Source organism: Homo sapiens, chromosome 7, assembly GCF_000001405.40.
Source record: "Homo sapiens chromosome 7, GRCh38.p14 Primary Assembly".
Lineage (NCBI taxonomy): Eukaryota > Metazoa > Chordata > Mammalia > Primates > Hominidae > Homo > Homo sapiens.
Genome location: NC_000007.14, coordinates 128,448,360 through 128,471,800, shown reverse-complemented (window position 1 = coordinate 128,471,800; position 23,441 = coordinate 128,448,360). Strand labels below are relative to the sequence as shown.

General features: G+C 44.7%; 1 protein-coding gene and 1 pseudogene across 6 annotated transcripts, besides 4 other annotated features; both read right to left on the bottom strand.

Annotated features, from left to right (window-relative positions):
• Positions 1-1,395: 1,395 nt before the first annotated feature.
• On the bottom strand, positions 1,396-15,923 carry EFCAB3P1 (EFCAB3 pseudogene 1; annotated as a pseudogene). Of its 4 annotated transcripts, NR_190220.1 has the most exons (5): positions 15,778-15,923; positions 14,121-14,600; positions 8,313-8,621; positions 5,116-5,238; positions 1,396-2,956 (listed from the first exon to the last, which is right to left on the bottom strand). The product of NR_190220.1 is annotated as an EFCAB3 pseudogene 1, transcript variant 3 (transcript). The 4 variants fall into 4 exon arrangements; NR_190219.1 differs by lacking the exon at positions 14,121-14,600; NR_190221.1 differs by lacking the exon at positions 14,121-14,600 and having other exon boundaries at positions 8,313-8,571.
• Positions 12,132-12,426: an enhancer, noted in NCBI's record as "tiled region #9446; K562 Activating DNase unmatched - State 25:Art". NCBI's record gives its function as "activates a minimal TATA promoter and a strong SV40 promoter by Sharpr-MPRA in K562 cells {active_cell/tissue: K562}" and the evidence as "EXISTENCE:reporter gene assay evidence [ECO:0000049][PMID:27701403]".
• HILPDA (hypoxia inducible lipid droplet associated) lies at positions 13,383-15,923 on the bottom strand. Of its 2 annotated transcripts, none has more exons than NM_013332.4 (2): positions 15,778-15,923; positions 13,383-14,600 (listed from the first exon to the last, which is right to left on the bottom strand). In NM_013332.4, exon 2 carries the CDS (start codon positions 14,530-14,532, stop codon positions 14,341-14,343), a length of 192 nt encoding a protein of 63 aa, NP_037464.1. In that variant the 5' UTR covers positions 14,533-14,600; positions 15,778-15,923; the 3' UTR covers positions 13,383-14,340. The 2 variants fall into 2 exon arrangements, with proteins under 2 accessions (NP_037464.1, NP_001092256.1); NM_001098786.2 differs by having other exon boundaries at positions 15,892-15,923.
• Positions 15,871-16,010: a silencer, noted in NCBI's record as "silent region_18608". NCBI's record gives its function as "represses an Ori minimal core promoter by ATAC-STARR-seq in GM12878 lymphoblastoid cells {active_cell/tissue: GM12878}" and the evidence as "EXISTENCE:reporter gene assay evidence [ECO:0000049][PMID:35858748]".
• Positions 16,111-16,280: an enhancer, noted in NCBI's record as "active region_26599". NCBI's record gives its function as "activates an Ori minimal core promoter by ATAC-STARR-seq in GM12878 lymphoblastoid cells {active_cell/tissue: GM12878}" and the evidence as "EXISTENCE:reporter gene assay evidence [ECO:0000049][PMID:35858748]".
• Positions 17,189-17,895: an enhancer, noted in NCBI's record as "H3K27ac-H3K4me1 hESC enhancer chr7:128093960-128094666 (GRCh37/hg19 assembly coordinates)". NCBI's record gives its function as "activates a minimal SCP1, AML or CMV promoter by ChIP-STARR-seq in naive H9 embryonic stem cells {active_cell/tissue: H9 hESC(naive)}" and the evidence as "EXISTENCE:reporter gene assay evidence [ECO:0000049][PMID:30033119]".

The following is a 23,441-nucleotide window of genomic DNA, read 5'->3' as shown; positions in this document are numbered from 1 at the left end:
GCATCCAAATTATATCTCCTAGATTCCCTGTTATACCCACAGCCATATGAAAAGTCTCTTGTCAAGTCATAAATCTTGTTTTTAGCTAGAAAATATGGCTGCTTATCTATCTATAAGGTTAGTTCTTCTCTCCAACATTGTATCTTTATAAATAATAGCAGGTATATTTAGACTCTTTTGACTATTCATGGTAACACTCACAAAATTACCTCAAGGCCATTTCAATAAACAGTTTTGGGGGCACTATCCTCATTGCTTTTTCCTGGCATTTTATAATTTTACAGCAGGGCGCAGTGACTCATGCCTGTTATCCCAGCACTTTGGGAGGCTGAGGTTGACAGATCACCTGAGTTCAGGAGTTTGAGACTAGCCTGGGCAACATGGCGAAACCCTATCTCTACTAAAAATACAAAAATTAGCTGGGTGTGGTGGCATGCACCTGTAATCCCAGCTACTTGGGAGGCTGAGGCAGGTGAAACGCTTGAGCCCGGGGAGGTGGAGGTTGCAGCGAACTGAGATCACGTTGCTGCACTGCAGCCTGGGCAACAGAGTGAGACTCTGTCTCAATTTTTTTTTTTTTTTTTTTTTTTTACATTATGAGGCATTGTCCCCATCAATATTGGACATATCTTTTCCTTTTTCTGGGTCAAAATTTTTCTAGAACAGTGATTTAAAAAGGATTTGTTCTATATGTTGAGTGTGATGGACTGGTTTGCACCCACACACCTGCAAACCAGCCTCTCGGACAACATTTACAAATAGTTGATCTCATCCCTTACATTTTTTTTCATCCCTTACATTTTTAGATCAGAATTGTCACAGGAAATAAAACACTTTGCCATCCTGACAGTAGATCAGAAGGTTAATATAGATTTAGTCTTGGTACATCCAGATTTCCTGAGTCCAAAAGTGGTCTGTCTCTCTGTGGGCAACCCTTGAGAACCACAGAAAAATACCCCAATGGGACTGGGCACAGTAGCTCATACTTGTAATAACAACAATTTGGGAGGCTGAGGTGGGAGGATCACTTCAGCCCAGGAGTTTGAGACCAGCCTGAGCAACATAGGGAGTCCGTGTCTCTACAAAAATAAAAAAAAATTAGCTGGGCATGGTGGTGCGCCCCTGTAGTTCCAGCTACGTGAGAGGCTGAGTTGGGAGGATTGCTTGAGCCCAGGAAGTTGAGGCTGCAGGGAGCCATGATTGTGTCACTGCATACCAGCCTGGGTGACAGAGTGAAACCCTGTTTCTAAACAAACACACACGCACACAAAACAAAACAAACCAAAACAAAAAACCCAGTAATGGATGATACACACTTAAACATGATTGAAAGGGCAAATTTTATGTAATGTATATTTTACCATAATAAAAAATTATAATCCCCCAAACTTGTAATATGGTTATATATGTGCTTCTTTATTAAATGCATTAAAGAACAGCAACAATAAATACAATGGATGTGATCAGCTATTCATTTTGTTTGTCTTGTTTTGAGACAGAATCTTGCTCTGTCACCCAGGATGGAGTGCAGTGGCATAATCGCAGTTTACACTCACCATAAACTCACTGCACCCTCCACCTCCCAGGTTCAAGCAATTCTCCCGCTTCAGCCTCCAGAGTAGCTGGGATTATGGGCATGTGCCACCACGCCCGACTAATTTTTGTATTTTTAGTAGAGACAGGGTTTCACCATGTTGACCAGGCTGGTCTTGAACTCCTGACCTCAGGTGATCCGCCCGCCTCAGCCTCCCGAAGTGCTGGGATTACAGGCATGAGCCATCGCACCTGGCTGTGTTTAGCTATTTGTAAGAGCAATCTAAGTGTGCAGGTGTGTAGCTAAGGAGCCTTGGGAATACCCAAATTTAATCAAGGTTCTTTAGGGCTTGCTGATCTTATTCCCTGAAACTGAAAGGTCATCCTCGTCTGCTGTCTCTGGTCTCTTTCACAAACAATTGAAAACCTAACCCAGTTTACACTCACCATAAACTCAGAGGTTTATTGCTTGGAGGGCCCTTAGCTCAGGCCAACTTTTCTCCTTCCTGATGAGGCTTAGGCAGTCTTAAGCCAGGTAGGGGCAGCAGAGTGCAGCTGGTTGCTAGGGAACTAACAGCCCAGCATCTATTTACTAGTAAAGATTTAGGAAAGGGGGCCGGGCGCAGTGGCTCACACCTGTAATCCCAGCACTTTGGGAGGCCGAGGCGGGCGGATCACGAGGTCAGGAGATCGAGACCATCCTGACCAACATGGTGATAACCCCATCTCTATTAAAAATACAAAAATTAGCTGGGTGTGGTGGTGGGTGCCTGTAATCCCAGCTACTCGGGAGGCTTAGCCAGGAAAATGGCTTGAACCCAGGAGGTGGAGGTTACAGTAAGCCAACATCATGCCACTGCACTCCAGCCTGGTGACAGAGGAAGACTCTGTCTCAAAAAAAAAAAAAAAAAAAAAAAAAAAGATTTAGGAAAGGGAAACCATTTCCTAAATGGTTTAAGGTTTTTTACTGGTCAGAATCCAAAAGATGTCAACATTTCCAGCTTCTAAGAATGTACTTAGACAAAAGCAAGAAACAATAATTTTGATAACTATGAAAAAGTAGTTTGTGATGAGCTGTTTAGAAAATGTAGAAATTTCATTGTTGAAATCCCTTTAAACCTTTCTGTTTTCTTTTTCTTCCTGAGTCTGTGTCACATTCACTGGTATCTGATGAGGAAGAGGATCTGCAGTTATGGGAGGAATTTCTATTCACATAGGCATCATATAACCTTAAGTCCTTAGGAGAAAGTAATTCTTGGCAAACATTCCAGGACCATGTATAAGTAGAAAAGGTGTCATAAAAGGCCTCATTTCTAGAGTCTATCCCAATCAAATCCCCTCGGATCTTCTGCCAGAGGTTTAGCATTTCTTTTCGGTGTTCAAGGGCAATTCCCAAATTATAGGTATCAGTAGCTCTCTTCACCTGCAGTGAGAGACCAGAAGTTTATTGTAGTTACCTTAAAGTAGCTTTGATTTGTGGACCACAATGATAGATACCCCAAGAGTTATGTCCCTGGGCTACTCGAAAGTCACTGAATCTATACATTGGGTGGTGCCTCGTGAGGACATGTGAGCTAGGAGTTGATGGACAATCAAAATGTACTGCTTGGGAATAATGAAGTAATAAGAAATTTTATAAGGATATGAAAAATACAATGGACTAAAATAGGCTGAAGTATGGTATGGAGATAGGCTAGGGATATAACACGAGGGCCAATGCAGCCACTCAGTTCAGCCTAGGATATGGAGAACTGACTGGGAGAAGATGCTGAGCTGAGTAGGTCCTCAAGGATGTGATCAAATTGAGGGAGTAAGTGGTAAGGGGAAGGTGTTCCAGGGAGAGGGGACAGCATAAACAGCATAAACAGAGACCCCAAGGCAGTAAATATCCTGGAGGTGTGGTAGGAGGGTTCAGGCACTTGGTATTGCTGGAGTGTCAAGTTTAAAGTGGGAGGAATAAATAATGACAAAGGACAGGCAGCCCTTACACTTAATAAGTCAGTAATCTCTGTGAGGCTAGCAAAAGCCTGTTCCTCAGTGAAAATCATGCTGTAGCAACCCACTGTTTCTAATGAAAGTGAAATAAATCTCTTAAGCGGAAAATAGAGTTGAAATTGCCATCATTGAGAGGGACGTGTTCACTTTTAAGCAGGACAGTGCCATGGTTGGCTCTTCATGTTGGATCATTAGCAGCTGTGTGGAGAATAGTTGGAGGATACCAGGTTGGAGACTGCCTCATCTAAGGCAGTGGTAATGGGGATGGAATGAAAGGGACAGATTTGAAAAATGTGGGATTTTTTTTTTTTTTTTGAGACGGAGTCTTGTCCTGTTGCCTAACCTGGACTGCAGTAGTGCGATCTTGGCTCATCACAACCTCTGCCTCCTGGGTTCAAGGGATTCTCCTGCCTCAGCCTCCCAAGTAGCTGGGATTACAGGCGCCCACCACCATGCCCGGCTAATTTTTGTATTTTTAGTAGAGACGGGGTTTCACCATGTTGGCCAGGCTGGTCTCAAACTCCTGACCTCAGGTGATTCGCCTGCCTTGGCTTCCCAAAGTGCTAGGATTACAGGTGTGAGCCACCATGCCCAGCCCTGAAAAATCTTTAAGAGAATGACAATCGGCCAGACTTGGGGATTAGCAGATGTGAGGAATGAGGAAAAAACCCCAGTTAAGGATAGCTCCTGGCCTTCTAGCTTCAGTGACTGAGTAGATGCTATCAACTGAGACACATGCAATATACTCTCATAACAAACCTGCACATGTACCCCGTGGATCTAAAATAAAAGTTGACCTTATTTAAACACACACACACACACACACACACACACACACACACACACACACACACAAAACAAACAAACAAAAAACACCTGAGATACAGAATTCCCAGGGGAGAACCAGTTGGCTGCAGAAGATGATGAGTTTTGTTTTGGACACGTTGAGTTTGTTATGTTATGAGACCCTGCGTAGAGGCAGAAATAGTCATCAAGTGGTCAGTGAGATAGGTCAGAAATAGAGGAAAGAAGTTAGGTTAGTGACAACTTTAACAGTAATCAGTACATAGGTGGCAGCTGAACCAAGGAGGATAGATTGAGATAGCCCAAAGAATACTTGCCCTAGCTGTTCTTTACCTAATGCCAAGATTTCCAATGTATTAATACCAAACTATTGATCTTCTCAAGCTTCTTAGCCCTGGTGCAGCTGGTGCCCCAGGGCTAGAGGCCTCAGGATGTAAGATTCTTTCACCATGAATCTCTGAGTACACTACTCACTGTGACTGTTGGTTAACTACCTTAATTAGTTTGATATTTCTGGAATAACACAAATGAATGTCCCAGAAATAACAGTGAGTATAGCTGCATAGGTGAATAGCAGGATGAATCATAACACTTAACATTTGAATCCATTTGATTATAGAGAAAGAAATGGTGTTATTACAATGGGTAAACAAGAGAAACAACCTTGTCTCATTTTAAAGACATAGAGCAGATAAAAATTCTCTTGGTTTTATGGTGTAGTATTGAAGTGGACAATATTTTTGTCAGTGATTTCTGGGAAGGAACTCAACAAGGAATACTCACATGTTGTTTAATAGTAGTTGCATCGGCCACTATACAAGTCTGCTTTTTCTTGAGCATTTGATCAATGGTGAGGATGTTATTTGAATAACCTGAGGCAGGGTCCATAGACTTCATATTTGCTGCCTTTATGCATATTTAAAAAAGAAGGTAATACATTTTAATTTGAATTATACAACAAAAAGACATAATAAATAAGTATATTTTATTATAGAAGGATTTGTATATAATTTATGAGGTTATTGCCAAACCATTTGTTTGTTTGTTTAGACTTTTTTCTGGGTCCCTCAGGAGTGGCATTTGGCATATGTGCAAAAATATCTGTATATCCTAGATGGTGCCCTAGGACTGGAATTGCTAGGTCAAAAGGTGTGAAGTCTGTTCTTTTGGTAATTATTGCCAAATTTCCTCTGTAGAGGGTGAACCAATTTACAAACCTATCTGTAACTTATGAGTATACCCATGTTTTTTCATCTTGGTCAATATAATATGAAAAGATAAATATCTGAGGAGAGTTTTAACTTGGATCTTTTATGAGGAATGAGGTTGAATATTTTTTAATGTTTCTGAGAACTGTCTGTTCATACCCTTTGTCCATTTTTATATAGGTTATTTTTTTCTTATGAATTTGAAGTTCTTTGAAGTTAGCCTTTTATGTTATGAGTAGCAACTGTGATTTTTTTTTGGCCATATGGAGATTTTTGATCTTGAAGCAGTGGAATTAATATCTTTTTATTTAAAAATGCATTTGACTTTTGTATCACAGTTAGGGAGGCCTTCCCAGAGTTTATTTCAGTATGTTTAAGGTTTCTTTTTCTTTCTCTCTGACCCTCCATTTATTCCTTTTACATTTCATCCATTTGCAATTTGTATATGAAGTGTGAATCTCATTTTTTTCCTCAGATGCCTACTCAGTGCACTATTTGTTGAATAATCTATCATTTTCCTGTTGTGTTGAAATGTCACGTTTTCCTTAAGTTAAAATTCTCCACATAGCTCTATTTATTTTGGGACTTTCTATTTTCTTCCTTGGGTCTGTCTGTTAATATCTTAATATCACACTGTTTTAATGATTGAGACTTTTTTTTTTTTTTTGAGACAAAGTCATGAAAGTGGCTCATGCCTGTGATTCCAGCACTTTGGGAGGCTGAGGAGGGTGGACTGCTTGAGCCCAGGAGTTCAAGACCAGCCAACATGGCGAAACCCCATCTCTACTAAAAATACAAAAACTAGCTGGGCATGGTGGCACGTGTCTGTAGTCCCAGCTACTAGAGAGGCTGAAGTGGGAGGATTGCTTGAGCCTCGGAGGCAGAGGTTGCAGTGAGCTGATATCACATCACTGCACTCCAGCCTGGGTGACAAAGTTGAGACCTGTCTCAACAACAACAACAAAAACCCTTGGGGAAAATTTGAAAAATCACATTAAAGTTATAGACAAGCAAGAAAGAACACACCCTTATAAAGTCGAACATTCTTTTTTTTTTTTTTTTTTTTGAGACAGAGTCTCGCTGGAGTGCAGTGGTGGGATCTTGGCTCACTGCAACCTTCGCCTCCCGGGTTCAAGTGATTCTCCTGCCTCAGCCTCCCTAGTAGCTGGGATTACAGACACGCGCCACCATGCCTGGCTACATTTTGTATTTTTAGTAGAGACGGGGTTTCACCATGTTGGCCAGGCTGGTCTCGAACTCCTGACCTCAGGTGATCCGCCTGCCTTGGCCTCCCAAAGTGCTGAGATTACAGGTGTGAGCCACCATGCCTGGCCTTGAAAGTGTTTTTATTTACTCTTCCTCTTGAATGATAGCTTAGCTGGAAATACTTTTCTCTCCTCAATCTATAGATATTATTTGATTGTCTTCTGGCCTTTATTTTTGCATGCATGAAGTCTCCTGTTAGTCTACTTTTTGTTCCTTTGTAAGTTATTTTTTCTGTCTGGTTTCCTCCCGTCTTTCCTTCCTTCCTTCCTTCCTTCCTACCTTCCTTCCTTCCTTCCTTCCTACCTTCCTTCCTCCCTCCCTCCCTCCCTCTCTTTCTCTCTTTCTTTCTTTCGAGACAGAATGTTGCTTGGTGGCCCAGGCTGGAGTGCAGTGGTGCAATCTCGGCTCACTGCAACCTCTGCCTTCTGGGTTCAAGAGATTCTCTTGCCTCAGCCTCCCAAGTAGCTGGGATTACAGGCATGTGCCATCATGCCCGACTAATTTTTGTATTTAGTACAGATGGGGTTTCATCATGTTGGCCAGGCTGGTCTTGAACTCCTGACCTCAGGCGATCCACCTGACTTGGCCTCCCAAAGTGCTGGGATTACAGATGTGAGCCACTGTGCTTGGCCTCTGGTTGCTTTTGAAGTGTTTCCTTTGTCTTCATTTTCAACTGCAATGTTTCAAGTTGTATTTTCTCTTTTTTTTTTTTTTTTAATTTTGTTAGTATTTATTGATCATTCTTGGGTGTTTCTCCGAGAGGGAGATTTGGCAGGGTCATAGGACAATAGCGGAGAGAAGGTCAGCAGATAAACATATGAACAAAGGTCTCTGGTTTTCCTAGGCAGAGGACCCTGCGGCCTTCCGCAGTGTTTGTGTCCCTGGGTACGTGAGATTAGGGAGTGGTAATGACTCTTTAACGAGCATGCTGCCTTCAAGCATCTGTTTAACAAAGCACATCTTGCACCGCCCTTAATCCATTTAACCCTGAGTTGACACAGCATATGTTTCAGAGAGCACGGGGTTGGGGGTAAGGTTATAGATTAACAGCATCCCAAGGCAGAAGAATTTTTCTTAGTACAGAACAAAATGGAGTCTCCTATGTCTACTTCTTTCTACACAGACACAGTAACAATCTGATCTCTCTTTCTTTTCCCCACATTTCCCCCTTTTCTATTCGACAAAACCGCCATCGTCATCATGGCCCGTTCTCAATGAGCTGTTGGGTACACCTCCCAGACGGGGTGGCAGCCGGGCAGTGGGGCTCCCCACTTCCCAGACGTGGCGGCTGGGCAGAGGCGCGCCCCCCACCTCCCAGACGGGGCGGCTGCCGGGCGGGGGCGCCCCCCCACCTGCCAGACGGGGCGGCTGCCGGGCAGAGGGGCTCCTCACTTCTCAGACGGGGTGGCCGGGCAGAGGGGCTCCTCACTTCTCAGACGGGGCAGCCGGGCAGAGGCGCTCCTCAGTTCCCTGACGGGGTGGTGGCCGGGTAGAGACGCTCCTCACCTCCTAGACAGGGCGGCCGGGCAGAGGCGCTCCCCACATCCCAGACGATGGGCGGCCAGGCAGAGACGCTCCTCACTTCCTAGACAGGATGGCAGCCGGGAAGAGGCGCTCCTCACTTCCCAGACTGGGCGGCCAGGCAGAGGGGCTCCTCACATCCCAGACGATGGGCGGCCAGGCAGAGACGCTCCTCACTTCCTAGACGGGGTGGCGGCCGGGCAGAGGCTGCAATCTCAGCACTTTGGGAGGCCAAGGCAGGTGGCTGGGAGGTGGAGATTGTAGCGAGCAGAGATCACGCCACTGCACTCCAGCCTGGGCAACATTGAGCACTGAGTGAGCAAGACTCCCTCTGCAATCCCGGCACCTCGGGAGGCCAGGGCGGGCAGATCACTCGTGGTCAGGAGCTGGAGACCAGCCCGGCCAACACGGCGAAACCCCGTCTCCACCAAAAAATACAAAAACCAGTCAGGCGTGGTGGCGCGCGCCTGCAATCCCAGGCACTCAGCAGGCTGAGGCAGGAGAATCAGGCAGGGAGGTTGCAGTGAGCCGAGATCGCAGCAGTACAGTCCAGCCTCGGCAACAGAGGGAGACCGTGGAAAGCGGGAGACGGAGACGAGGGAGAGGGGGAGACCGTGGAAAGCAGGAGACAGAGACGACGGAGACGGGAGAGAGAGAGGGAGAGGGAGAAGGTGAGGGTGAGGGAGAGGGCACATTTTTGCTACTTTGTCCCTTGAATCTAAAAACTTCCCAACCTACAAGCTAGGTTGTTAATAAGGCAACACTTCATTTAGAAAACGTTTGTTTGGCCTACAGTGTGCCAGGATCTTTGTTCTTTGTAAAAAAACTTAATATAGATCTATGACCTCATGAGAATACGGCCTGAATAAGATTAACTGTCAGCAGTTCATCAACATTCTTTAATACAACACATCATTAGCATGGCTCTGAGAAAGTGTTATATTCTGTTCTTTTGTTGCAGATTGGACTACTAGAGTGAAGCAAATTGCCAAATTGTGGAGAAAAGCAAGCTCACAAGAGCACCATATGTGGTATTTTAAGAAACTCCTATCTTTTAAATATTTAAATACAGTGCTTGAACCTTATTTGTATTAGGTTAATAAAAAAACAAATTTCCATTTCAGAAAATGCTTGTTAGTACCTGTACAACAAGCAACTTTATTTTTACAGTGATTTTCTAACTCCTTATGTCTTAATACAGAGTGTGACATTTTTATAAGCAAGTTAACAGAAAAGGATCCCAGCACAGACACCAAGGTGGGCAGATCACTGGAGGTCAGGAGTTTGAGACCAGCCTGGCCAACATGGTGAAACCCCATCTCTACCAAAAAAAAAAAAAAATTAGCCCAGCATGGTGGTGGGTGCCTGTAATCCCAGCTACTCAGGAGGCTGATGCACAAGAATTGCTTGAACCCAGAGGCAGAGGTTGCAGTGAGCCGAGATTGTGCCACTGCACTCCAGCATGGGCGACAGAGCAAAACTCTCAAAAAAAAAAAAAAAAAAAAAGCACCACCAACAAAAACTAAAGAAAATGTGTGGCAAATCCAAGTAGAGACATATTTTAAGTATAAAATGCCCACCAGTATACAAACTTAGTATCACAAAAAAAGTATTTAACATATCTCATTAATAACACTTTATGTTATATTTTGGAATGATATCTTGAATACATTGCGTTAAATATGTTAAAAATATCTTCAGTTTCTTTTTACTCCTTAATGGGACACTAGAAAATTTTAAATTATATATGTAGTTTGCATTATGTTTTTATTGGACAGTGCTGGGCTAGATCTTATCTTCCAGCCCTTAATATTCTCATAGTTATCTTAAGCTTCAGAGGTAGTGTCATTCAAATTCAGAAAGCATTACACAGCATACAGTATATAAAATATTCCCTTCTTTAGGGTCCACTAGGTGGCACTAGAGTTCAGGCCACAAGCTAGTAAGATTTAAAATTTGTACTTGCACTTTGAAAAATTATTTATTTTTATTTATTTATTTTGAGATGGAGTCTCACTCTGTCACCCAGGCTGGAATGCAGTGGCACTATCTCAGCTCACTGCAACCTCTGCCTCCCAGGTTCAAGCAATTTTCCTGTCTCAGCCTCCCCAGTAGCTGGGACTACAGATGCTTGCCACCATGCCCAGCTAATTTTTGTATTTTTAGTAGAGACAGGGTTTCACCATATTGGTCAGACTGGTCTCGAACTCCTGATCTCAAATGATCTACCTGCCTTGGCCTCCCAAAGTGCTGGGATTACAGGTGTGAGCCACCGTGCCCAGCCTTAATTTTTTAGGAGACAGGGTCTAGTTCTGTCACCCAGGCTGCAGCACAGTGGCATGATCATGGCTCACTGCAGCCTCAAACTCCTGGGCTCAAGTGATCCTCCCACTTCAACCCCTTTGGTAGCTAGGACTAAAGGTGTGCGCCACTATGCCCAGCTAACGCTTAAAAAAATGTTGGGGGAGTAGTGGGCCGGGTGCGGTGGCTCACACCTGTAATCCCAGCACTTTGGAAGGCTGAGACGGGTGGATCACTTGAGTCCAAGGGGTTCGAGGACAGTCTGGGCAACATGGTAAAACTCCATCTCTACAAAAAATACAAAAATTAGCTGGGCATGGTGGTGTGCACCTGTAGTCCCAGTTACTGGGGAGGCTGAGACAGGAGAATTGCTTGAGCCCGGGAGGTGGAGGTTGCAGTGAACCACAATGCCACCACTGCACTCCAGTCTGGGTAACAAAATGAGACCCTGAATGGAAAAAAAAATTTTTTTAAATAATTTTTTTTAAATAAAGACGGGGTCTTGCTCTGTTCCCCAGGCTGGTCTTGAACTCCTAGGCTCAAGCAATCCTCCTGCCTAAGCCTCCCAAAGTGCTGGGGTTACAGGTACGAGCCACTGTGCCTGGCCTGTACTTGCAGTTCTCTTTTTTTTGAGATGGAGTTTCACTTTTGTTGCCCAGGCTGGAGTGCAATGGCGCATCTTGGCTCACTGCAACCTCCGACCCCCAGGTTCAAGTGATTCTCTTGCCTCAGCCTGCTGAATAGCTGGTATTACAGGCACCTGCCACCACGCCCAGCTATTTTTTGTATTTTTAATAGAGATGGAGTTTCCCCATGTTGGCCAGGCTGGTCACAAACTCCTGACCTCAGGTGATGCACCCGCGTCGGCCTCCCAAAGTGCTGGGATTACAGGCGTGAGGCACTGCACCTGGCCTGAACTTGCAGTTTTCTAAATGAGCTGTGCATAGGCTCATCTCCATGCCTTTGCTCCCGTTGTTCCCTCCGCTGAGACACCTTTTCCTAAGTTGGCCAGCAGCCTACAACCTACGCATTTTTAAAAAATTGAGATCCTCTAAGAAGCTTTTCCTGAACACCCCTCTCCTGCCTACAAATAACTTTATATACCCACTATCCTGTATACGTATTTCTATCACAAAACCATGACACATTATTTGTTCACATGCCTTCCTCCCAATACCTTGTGTACATCTGAGGCAGGTAGCGATGAGGTATTAGCTGATGCCTGGCATCCAATAGGTGCTGTACACAATGTACCAATCAGGATAAGCTAAGTTACACTTCAGTTAACAAAACCCCCAGATATCAGTAGCACAATTCCTGTGCTACAGTGCGGGTATCAGTCACCTTCCCAAAACAGGCCCAGTCCTTTTGCAGGGGGTGGGGGGTAATGGGAAATATAAGAACATACCCTAGAGAAAGCAACATGTCTAGAAGTCTCTCCCACATCACAGTCAGATTGGACAGATTAAGGGCCCTGCGCCATGCATCCTCATTCCAGGACCTACACTAATGAACAGTTCCATAGGAAGCACTGCTGGTCACTGCACAGAGGGAAAAAGAGGTCCTCGCAGGTTTCTCCAGCACTGAAATGCTCTCACGTAGAATTAACGCAAGCCACTACCACTCACAGCTCATTGGCCAGAACTAATGACATGGCTCCATCCAACCACAAGGGGGTGGTGGCACACAGATCACTTCAATTAAACTAAGCCACTTGGAGGAGAGACTTAAGGTGCAGGCTCTCCAATTGAAGGTTCAAAAATACCCCAAATTAGAAGCATGAGAATGAGAAAATATATCAAATATAAGAAATATGACTAGAAGAGGGTAACTACTGGCACATGAAACTGAAACCAGAGAAAAAGCCAAATAGACTTTTGAGAGTAGTACTATGCTAACAAAGTAACAGTCATATAAACCCTGCCAGCCACAAGGGGACCAATTTACCATGTACCCGAAAGGTGGGAAACTGGAAATACTTGATAAATAACACTAGTGACAACCACTGTGCAATAAATGAAAGTGATGCTTAACCCACAGGCTTCTAGGGTAGTGACATTTTAAGAACACTCAGGAAGCAAAACTGGCTTAACAGAAGACACTGTACTTCATTGTTGCGCTTTAGCAAAAGTCAGTCAAGTTAATAAAATGATGCACACGCCCAGATGGGAGTGTAAATAAATATATTCTGAAGGGCAAAGGAGTGAATACAATTGTACGTGGGACAGGAAGTACAAGAGTGATGGATACAAGAAAAAAAAACCCCTCCAACTTTTGAGTAAAGGCCAAGTTGCTTAGATCTGGGAGAGCAGATATAATCATCTGTGTGGTGTGGACACTTTACCAACTGACTTTGAGAACAATCTGAATTAAGCAGCCTTTTTGGTGGGTAAGTAAAACACGCTGAAGAGTACAAAAGAAAAAGCCCACAGCCTCCTGGACTGATAGTCCTCTTTGCCCCAGAGACTCAAGGAGAGGGGCTGGAAGTGGTGATCATTTTTCTTCTTCTTTACAGATCTAGTCATGACAGGCCTGCAATAATCGTGGCCTAGGCTCACATAACTGGTTGATACATGGCAGACCCAACTGCCTCTGCCCCCAAATTCAGAAGTCTACTGATACTATGTTTTAAACAAAGTGATTTAAGCACTTTCCTGCTCCAAAGTATTGAGATGTTAAAATTAAACCTCAGGTCTAGAAATTAAGACCCTCCCTACCACGAATTTCAAGAGCAGAAGTCAACATGACACACAGTAGAAATATATATTCCACTTTATTAGTTAGAAAAAATCATTTAAGCCACATGGTGGCCACAATGTCCATAACTTGAGCAGGCTTTGGCATCCCACCACCCCCTTCAGACCAATACACACTATGTTGGAGGAACGACTTTAAAATGTAAAATGAGAAATGGGCACTGAACACTCCATCCTCACTCCCAACAGCCCACCCACACAACCTCTTCAACTGCTATCCAAACATGGAGGAGCTCTTGTGGAAGAGAGGCTCAACACCAAATAATTGAGCATAAGACATTCAAGACTAAAGGAACCCCAGACAGATGTTTAGGAAGTAGGGTTGAAAATATCACCATCTCCCAACAGCTGAAGTTGGGACATCTAAGAGATGTCAGAGCCATACTGCTGAGGAAAGCACAGCATACACCAGACCCCGGGGTAAGGGCGAGATCAACCTATCTCATAGCCATAAGCAATCCACTCACACCTGTGCATTAAACAGGCTTTTTCTTTTCTTTTTTTTTTGAGATGGAGTCTTGCACTGTGGCCCAGGCTGGGTACAGCAGTGCGATCTCGGCTCACTGCAACCTCCGTCCCCGGGTTCAAGCAATTCTCCCGCCTCAGCCTCCCAAGGAGCTGGGATTACAGGCCTCTGCCACCACACCCAGCTAACTTTTGTATTTTTAGTAGAGATGGGGTTTCGCCATGTTGGCGAGGCTGGTCTCGAACTCCTGACCTCAGGTGATCCACCCACCTCAGCCTCCCAAAGTGCTAGGATTACAGGCATGAGCCACCGCAACCGGCCTAAACAGGCCTTGCCCAGGCAATGAGCATCCAGTTAGACAGGTTCTTCAAGGCCTAGTAATAGTTCTCTGGTTACAACGGTGCTCAGCTTGTCTGCTAGGAATGGGACTCCCATCTGGACATGTCTAGGTCAGTGTTCCAAAATATGGCCAGTATGGAAGGAGGTCTTATCACATGCTTCTGGATGGATGGTCTGGAAGGCCCTTGGTGGGCTCTGTGTTGGCTAGTTGGCTTCTGGTGGTCCAGGAGGTCCCAGGCGATGGGCTCTCTAGTAAGCCCTCTAGGGACTCCATCACTCTAACGAAGATGGAGAGTAGGGTCAGTACCACACCTAACAGGTAGAGGTTCAACACATGCTTCATGGCTGAAAGGACCCTACTCCTCTGCAGAGAAACAGAGCTGCCTTCTCCTTCTGAAAGGCCTCTGGACCCTGAGAAAAAAGAGGAAAGGATGAATCTATAGCCTTTTGGGGATATGCATGCATCCAGCCCTGACTCTTCTGTCCTCTCACAGGGCTGAAGGAGAGGCTTAGCCAGTGAGGGACACAGGGACCAGGGAGTTGCACAGCAACTCTCCAAGAATATTTTACATTGCAAACTTCATGGCTGCGGAGCCAGTGTTGCTTCTTGGACTAATTCAAGAACACTTCTTAAAACTTTTACTTTCTTAGGCCAGGCGCGGTGGCTCATACCTGTAATCCCAGCGCTCTGGGAGGCCGAGGCGGGTGGATCACCTGAGGTCAGGAATTCGAGACCAGCCTGACCAACATGGTGAAACCCTGTCTCTACTACAAATACAAAAATTAGCCGGGCATAGTGGCACATGCCTGTAATCCCAGCTACTCGGGAGGCTGAGGCAGAATTGCTTGAACCCGGGAGGCAGAGGTTGCAGTGAGCCAAGATCGCGCCATTGCACTCCAGCCTCGGCAACAAAAGCAAAACTCCGTCTCAAAAACAAACAAACAAACATTTACTTTATTGAAAATTTTGTTCCTGCAAGGCACAATACACAACCCCTGTGCTACAGTGCAGGCATCAGTCACCTTCCTGAAATAGGCCCAGTCCTTTTGCAGGGGGGTGGTGGGTAATGGGAAATATAAGAACATGCCCTGGAGAAAGGAACCTGCCTAGAAGTCTCTCCCACATCACAGATTGGAGTTAACTACAAACTTTTTGCAAGTCCAAATAACTCTATGAGGGTCAAATCTATCAAGTTCATTTATTTAACAAACATACCATGAATATCTGCAATGTGTTAGGTACCCTGGAAGATACTAGGGCCACATTGCAAACCTTATAGACAAAGGGTAGTTAACACGCAACACGCTAAGTGTTGGGACAGCAAGGAGATCGTGAAGGTGCTCTGGGAGGGCATGGCAGGGATGCCTAACTCAGCACCTGTGGGCGTGGGATGGGCCACGTGGATCCTAGTTAGGACCACCTTAGGACAAAACAGGGCTGACGGCTGAATGGGGACCCCAGATGGGGCGTGGGCGATCAGAGAGGATCCCGGCGGCGCACCCCCAGCCCTGGAACGCGAGGCTGCTAGCGCGGCGAGCACTCTAGCGATGGGGGTGGGGAGCCGGGGAAGCCCACAGGGCCGCTCACCTCCGGGGGAACAGCCGGGAGTGGATCGCCGGCTGTAGGAGCAGGTCGTGCAGGAGTCCGGAGGAAAGTCGGTTACTAAGCACCAGCGCAGAAGCTTCCCGCCACAAAACTCACCGGAGACAAAAGCGCCGTCAGCCGCAGAGCGCAGAGCAACGCCGCCCAGCCTCCGCCCCTTATAGCCGCGAGCACGCCCCAGGAGGGTACGCGCACGCGCACTGGAGGCCGCACGCACGCCCGGGACGCACACGACGTGGCGCACGTCCGCGGCCCCACCCCGCGGGCAACGGGGTTTGGGGATTGTCCCGGGTGCTCTCCCGCGGAGCTGTTTCCAAAAGTACACGTCGTGCGGTTTTGAGTCATTGTGTTCTGGAGTGAGACGAGGCGTGTGTATTAATCTCGACTGCCATCTCTGCTGTAGAAAACATTTGAAGGAGTCAGAGAGCACATATCCCTTCTCCCCAGTAGGTGAAAAACACCGATGGCCTTCGTGTCCGTGAAGCCCCGCCGTGAAGGGTGGGTTCTTCCCCAGAGATTTCGGGTGCACTAAATTGTCAGAGGGCACCAGACCCCTACCCCACTCGTTATTTTCTTCATTTCAAGGACTGAAGAGCTGGTTTTGTTTCACTTCATAGCTGTACCAAGATTCCAAATCCCGAGTTTCAGTTGCCATCGGTATCTCTGGAATGGTGAGGCCCTTGTGCAACATATTAAGCTCTGCAAGCTCTGCTTTCTATGAGAGTTTGTCGTGTCGCTTCAGAAAACGTGAAATACTCCTGGCCCTGGTGTGGGATCCTAACTGCATATGGGCAAGTCACTTGGTATTTAAATGGGCCTCGGTTTTCTCATCTGTAATGAAGACATTGGCCACTAGATGATTTTTCTTCTTCTTCTTCTTTTTTTTTTTTAAATAGAGACAGTCTCGCTATGTTGCCCAGGCTGGTCTCGAACTCCTGATCTCAAGCCATCCTCCCACCTCTGCCTCCCAAAGTGCTGGGGCTACAGGCGTGAGCCACCGCGCCCGGCCGCTAGATGATTTTTAAGGGTGCTTTCGGCTTGAACTAAAGAGCCAGGAGGTCACAGACCAGCCTTATGTCCAGATTTGGGGGGCTAGGCTGCCTTACTAATCACCCCCGAACCCACCCAGCCAAGACTGTGCGGTCTGTCTTGAGAGCACGCAACGGGGGATCTCAGAAAGTAGAGTCCCGGAGAGACACTGGGAATGGGGAGGACCCCCGGGAAGGGGTGTACACGCCGTGGAAGGGAAGGCCGCTGGTGGCTTTAGAACTGGCGGTTCCGTGTACCCGGGTCAAGTGCCCGTGCCGGATGGGAAAGAACCCTGTGACTTTCCACATCTCAGCGAGCTCGGCGGGCTCTGCTTAAGAAGGGCTCTAAGACGGGAAGGGAGGAGCCATCCCCACTGCGACCTTTCCCCTCCTTTCCTGGCTGGCTGGCTGTGGTCTGTCGGGAATGAGGGGGTGGGGAAGCCGGGAAAGCAGAAGGTTGGGGCTGGAGGTCTGCTGGCAGGCAGGCAGACATTTGGAGCCAACTTTCCTGCTCAGCCCGCAGAACTTTTGGTCCTTCGCTATACCAGAGTTTCGTCTGTTTTTTTGCTTGACTGTGTGACCCTTCTCTCACACTGTTATTAAATAGGTCTCAAGCTGCGAAATCACTGCCAGATCCAAACGCCACTACTTTGCCAGGTGAAGGCCTTGGGCGAACCCTTTAACCTTCTTGTAGTTCTGTTTCCTCAGCTGTTCTGTGAGATCATAACAGTCTTAACCTGATATTAAATGAATTAATCCATATAAAGCGCTTAGAACAATGCCTGGCACATAAAAAACATTCTATGAATCTTAACATTATCTGTATCATCAACTACAAAACTCCCAGTGAGGGGTTTTGCTCATTAGCAGCCTAGGCTTGCTGAATGAATGCAGGAATTCTACAATGACCATTTGAGTTCTACTTAGTTTGAGTTCTAAATTTATACTTCACACAGCTGGAAGAAGGGATGGGCACCTCTCCAACAATTCTTTCTCCCCATATTCCCTGCCATTGTCTAAAGGTCATGCCAGTTGGAAATAAGAAGGGTTTGGGTGAGGGCAGCTCTATGCTTTACCATTCTGTCAGCTACAAATGTAGCTACCTGCATCAGGATTTAGTCCTGCCTTCAACACCTTGGCCAGGCTAACTGACCCCTTTGAACTTTAGTTTCCTTATCTGTAAAATGAGGAAAATAATCTGTAAAACAGGGTTGTTGTGAGGGTTGGAAATAATGCCCATAAAGAGTATGTCATATATGCTCAACAAATAGTAGCTATTATTTTGCTAAAAAGTATAAAGCCAGATTCTTGTTCTAAATAAGCTTGTCACCTGGTTGAGTAAACAAGACCTGAATAAGATAAGATAACTAACAACCCAAGGCAGTGTGGGGTAGAGTTTAGAAGTAAGTACATAAGTAGGGTGGTAATGTTTTGCTTGGGGAACTGGGATTTTAACATTCACTATGGTTATTTAAAAAAAAAAAAAAAAAAGAGCTGGGCATGGTGGCTCACACCTGTAATCCCAGCACTTTGAGAGGCTGAGGCGGGCAGATCACCTGAGGTCAGGAGTTCGAGACCAGCCTGACCAACATGGACCAACATTCTCTACTAAAAATACAAAATTAGCCAGGCATGGTGGCGCATGCCTTTAATCCCAACTACTTGGGAGGCCGAGGCAGGAGAATCACCTGAACCTGGCAGGCAGAGGTTGCACTGAGCTGCGATCAGACCATTGCACTCCAGCCTGGGCAACAAGAGGGAAACTCCATCTCAAAAAAAAAAAAAAGAAGAAAGAAAGAGTGGAAACAAAATAAGCATTCTTCAAGTAACTGATACGTGCTGAACATTTTGCTAAATGCATTACATGTATTATTTAATTTTTCTAACGATGCTATGAGGTAGGTATTATTGCCTCTCTTCTTTATTTGTTGTTGTTGTTGAGAAAGGGTCTCACTTTGTTTTCCAGGCTGGAGTACAGTGGCACGATCACTGCTCACTGCAGCCTTGACTTTCTGGGCTCAAGCTATCCTACCACCTCAGCCTCCTAAGTAGCTGGGACTACAGTTACACACCACCACACCCAGCTAATTCTTTCTTTTTTCTTTCTTTGCCACCACCACACCAGCTAATTCTTTTCTTTTCTTTTCCTTTTCTTTCCTTTCTTTCTTTCTTTCTTTTTCTTTCTTTCTTTCTCTTTCTTTCTTTCTTTCTTTTTCTTTCTTTCTCCCTTTCTTCCCTTTCTTTCCTTTCTTTTCTTGCTTTTCTTTCTTTTTTTTTTGTAGAGATGGGGTCTCTCTATGCTGCCCTGACTGGTCTCAAACTCCTGACCTCAAGTGATCCACGTGCCTCAGCCTCACAAAGTGCTGGGATTACAGGTGTGAGCCACCATACCCAGCCTTCTTTATTTGTTAACTATGCTTTTTCTTCCAGAGGAAGAAGAGACTTTCTTCACCTAGTCTTTTACTCATCTTTCATATCTCAATTCAAACATATTTCCTCTGGTCACCCTTGCTGACCCTCGGACCCTGTTCCGGGCTCCAGTGGCATGATAGGCATTTCTTTCCCAGTGTGTTACTTTACCCTTAGTTGTATTAATGTCTGTGTCCTTTCAAAAGCCTGAAAATGTCAGTGAAAGGAGTGTTTGGTCTGATTTTGTTTCCATTCCATCTCCAGCAGCTAGCACCAAATAGTAGGCTTTTGATAAATATTTGTTGACTGAAGGAATAAATGAATGAATATTTTACCCAGCATCTTCAGTGAGTACCCATTGTTTCATCAAGGAAATGTAGATAAGGGCGCCAAGAGAAGCCGTTTTCAGGTGCTACCTCCTCCTTGGAGCTGCAACCAAGGAAAGCTTTTTATAAGCTGCCCTTCCCCCAAAGCCCCTAAAAAGAAGTGATTCTGAAGTCAACCCACACAAGAGTACCATACTAAGAACACAAGTATTTTCACAAATTTGATCTTATCATCAAGTGTTCATTTAAATAACATGTACTTACATTTCTGGTAAGTATAAACTGGTACATTCAGTATGGAAATCAATTTGTCAGTAATTGTTACCCTGACCCCCACTTGTTTTTTAAACACCTCAAGACCATTGAGGTGTTAAAAAAGACCACTGACTACCATTTGGCAATGTCTATAAAAATAAAAGCATACACATGCCCTTTAGCCCAGAATTCCACTTTTAGGATTTATCCTTCCACATGTAGAGAATGGAGTGTTTAAAGGTAGCACTGTTGCAGCACTGTTTGTGATAATGAAAGACTGGAAAAAACAGCCCATCAGTAGAGAACTGGTTAAATAAAAGATGGTGCATTCAGACAGTGAATTACCATAAAGCCAGAAAAAAGAGAGTAAGTTCTGTATATATCGACAAGATCTCCACAATATATTGTTAAATGAAAAGGGTTTATAGTATGTGAGCAGTATGCTACATTTATGTTAAAATGAACATAAAAAATAGAATACAATGAGACACCACCTCACACTCACTAGGATGGCTATAACACAAACAAGCAAAAAAACCCAGAAAAGAACAAATGTTGATGAAAATGTAGAAAAAACAGAACCCTCATACATTGCTGTTAGAATGTAAAATAGTGCAGCTGCTTTAGAATAGTTCCTCAAAAAGTTAAACATAGAGTTACTGTATGATCCAGCAGTTTAGCTCCTAAATATATACCCAAGTGAACCGAAGATGTATGTTCACACACAAACGCTTATACACAAATGTTCATAGCAGCATTATTCATAATAGCCAAAAAAGTAGAAACAACCCAAATGTCCGTCAACTGGCTAAAGGATAAACAAAATGTGATACAATGGAATATTATTCAGCCATAAAAAATGAAGTATTGATACATGCTACAATATGGATGCACCTTGAACACATTATGCTAAGTGAAAGAAACCAGAAACAAAAGGGTACATATCGTATGATTCCATTTATATGAAATGTCAGAATAGGCAAATCCAGGGCTGGGCGTAGTGGCTCCCACCTGTAAGCCCAGCACTTTGAGGATCCCAGCACAGAGACCAAGGTGGGCAGATCACTGGAGGTCAGGAGTTTGAGACCAGCCTGGCCAACATGGTGAAACCCTGTCTCTACCAAAAAGACAAAATTAGCCAGGCATGGTGGTGCTGACCTGTAGTCCCACCTACCTGGGAGGCTGAGACAGGAAAATCGCTTGAACCCAGGAGGCAGAGGTTGCAGTGAGCCGAGATCACACCACTGCACTCCAGCCTGGGCAACAGAGCAAGACTGTCTCAAAAAAAAAAAAAAGGCAAATCCACAGAGACAGAAAGTAGGTAAGTGGTTGCCAAGGGCTGGAGGAGAGGGGACTGGGGAATGACTGCTAGTGGGTACAGGGTGGTTTTTTTTTTGGTGTGTGGGCTGGTGATGAAATGTTCTAAAATTAGTGCTGACAGTTATACAAGTCTATGAATGTACTTAACCATTGAATTGTATCCTTTAAAACGGTGGATTTTGATATGTGAACTATATCTGAATAAAGTCATTATTTTCTTTAAAGGAGGGCAAGTTGAAGACATCGTCAGATGACAAACAAAAACAGAGTTAGCTGCCGTAGGCCCTTACCGTGGAAACTACTGAAGAATGAACCTAAGACACAAGAAAACTGAACCCAAAAGGAAATAGGGAAATGCAAGAAAAAATGGTAAGGAAATATTTACAAAACATATGGATGTATCTAAACAAATTATGACTACTCAAAACTATTTTTAGTAATAATGGTTGATTTAGAAAAGTAAAAATAACAAGATAAACTGAAAAATTGGTAAACATTTCAGATGGGAACAGTGAGCAAAGATGAAGTTTAATATGTTTTTATTTGGGAGGAAAGTAAATATTGATTAATGTTAGACTTTTTTTTTTTTTTTGAGACAGAGTCTTGGTCTTGTCACCCAGGCTGGAGTGCAATGGTGCAATCTCGGTTCACTGCAACCTTCGCCTCCCAGGTTCAAGTGATTCTCCTGCCTCAGCCTCCCGAGTAGCTGGGATTACAGGCACCCACCACCATGCCCAGCTAATTTTTGTATTCTTAGTAGAGACATTTCACTATGTTGGCCAGGCTGGTCTCAAACTCCTGACCTCAAGTGATCCACCTGCCTCAGCCTCACAAAGTGCTGGGATTACAGGTGTAAGCCACCACACCCAGCCAATTTTAGACTTTTTAAGTCTGTATATTAAAATGTTAAGAGTTGGTTGGGCGCGGTGGCTCATGCCTATAATCCTGGAACTTTGGTAGGCCAAGGCAGGTGGATCAGTTGAGGTCAGGAATTCAAGACCAACCTTATTAAATAAATAAATATATTTATATTTATTATTTATTTTTATCTTTTTGAGACAGTCTCACTCTGTCACCCAGGCTGGAGTGCAGTGGTGCGATCTCAGCTCATTGCAACCTCCACCTCCCGGGTTCAAGCGATTCTCCTGCCTCAGCCTCCCGAGTAGCTGAACTACAGGTGCCAGCCACCACACCTAGCTAATTTTTGTACTTTTTTTTAGTAGAGATGGGGTTTCACCATGTTGGCCAGGCTGGTCTCGAACTCCTGACCTCAGGTGATCCACCTGCCTCAGCCTCCCAAAGTGCTGGGATTACAGGCATGAGCCACCGCACCCGCCAAAAAAAATTAAAATGTTAAGGGTAGCTCTTCCTCTTCCTTCTCTTCCTGTACAATTCAGTCTTCAGGCCATTAGGTAAAATAGTACAAGGTGTCTACAATGAAGAGGAGGGCCGGTGGCCCAGAGTGGAATGTCACTTTTATTCACTATTATGTCCTCAGTGTCTGAAACATGTTCACTCAATATTTGGCTCACTGTGTCACTTCCTTCTGGACCCTGATCAAATGTCATTTCTCAGGGAGGCTTTCCCAATCATTTCATGTACAGTAACACTCACCACCTACTCTTCTCCTTTACCCTGTTTTATTTTTTCTTCATAGTACTCAACACCAACAAACCTGTTTTATATTTATTTGTTGATTATCTATCTTCCTCCGCTAGAATGTAGCTCCTTGAGAACAAGGACTCGGACTATTGTGTCAATTATTATGTTCCTAAACCCAGAATAGTGCCTTCCATGTGGTATATGCTCAACAAATATTTGTCGAATGAACGAATCATGTTTATGTATCTGAGATATTTTATAACTGAAAGGAAACACACCAAGCATGGTGGCTGACGCCTGTAATATCAGCACTTTGGGAAGCTGATGTGGGAGCATTGCTTGAGCCCAAGAGTTCAAGACCAGCCTAGGCAACATGACAAGACCCCGTCTCTAAAAAAATTAATAATAATTATGACAGAGCAGCTGATCAATTTCTAATTCTATTTATTGATGTTTGTTGCACAGCATTTTTACAGTGATCATCTCTGGGTGATATAATGAACTCCTTTTTTCCTCCTATTTTCTCCCATGTGCATCTGTTACTTTTACGATCAGAGAAAAAAATTAAAATTTACTAACATTTTGTAAATTTACAGCTTGAGCAACATTGTGACAATGAAGGGAAAACAAACACAGGAGTTTGGATGGGGAAATTGGGTCAAAAGCTTGGAGCAGCTAGTGGGAGGCGGGAGTGGAGTGGGAGGGCCTG

Bases quoted from the DNA above. Each gene is read 5' to 3' on its own strand.
- HILPDA (NM_013332.4), bottom strand. From the start codon at position 14,532: ATGAAGCATGTGTTGAACCTCTACCTGTTAGGTGTGGTACTGACCCTA.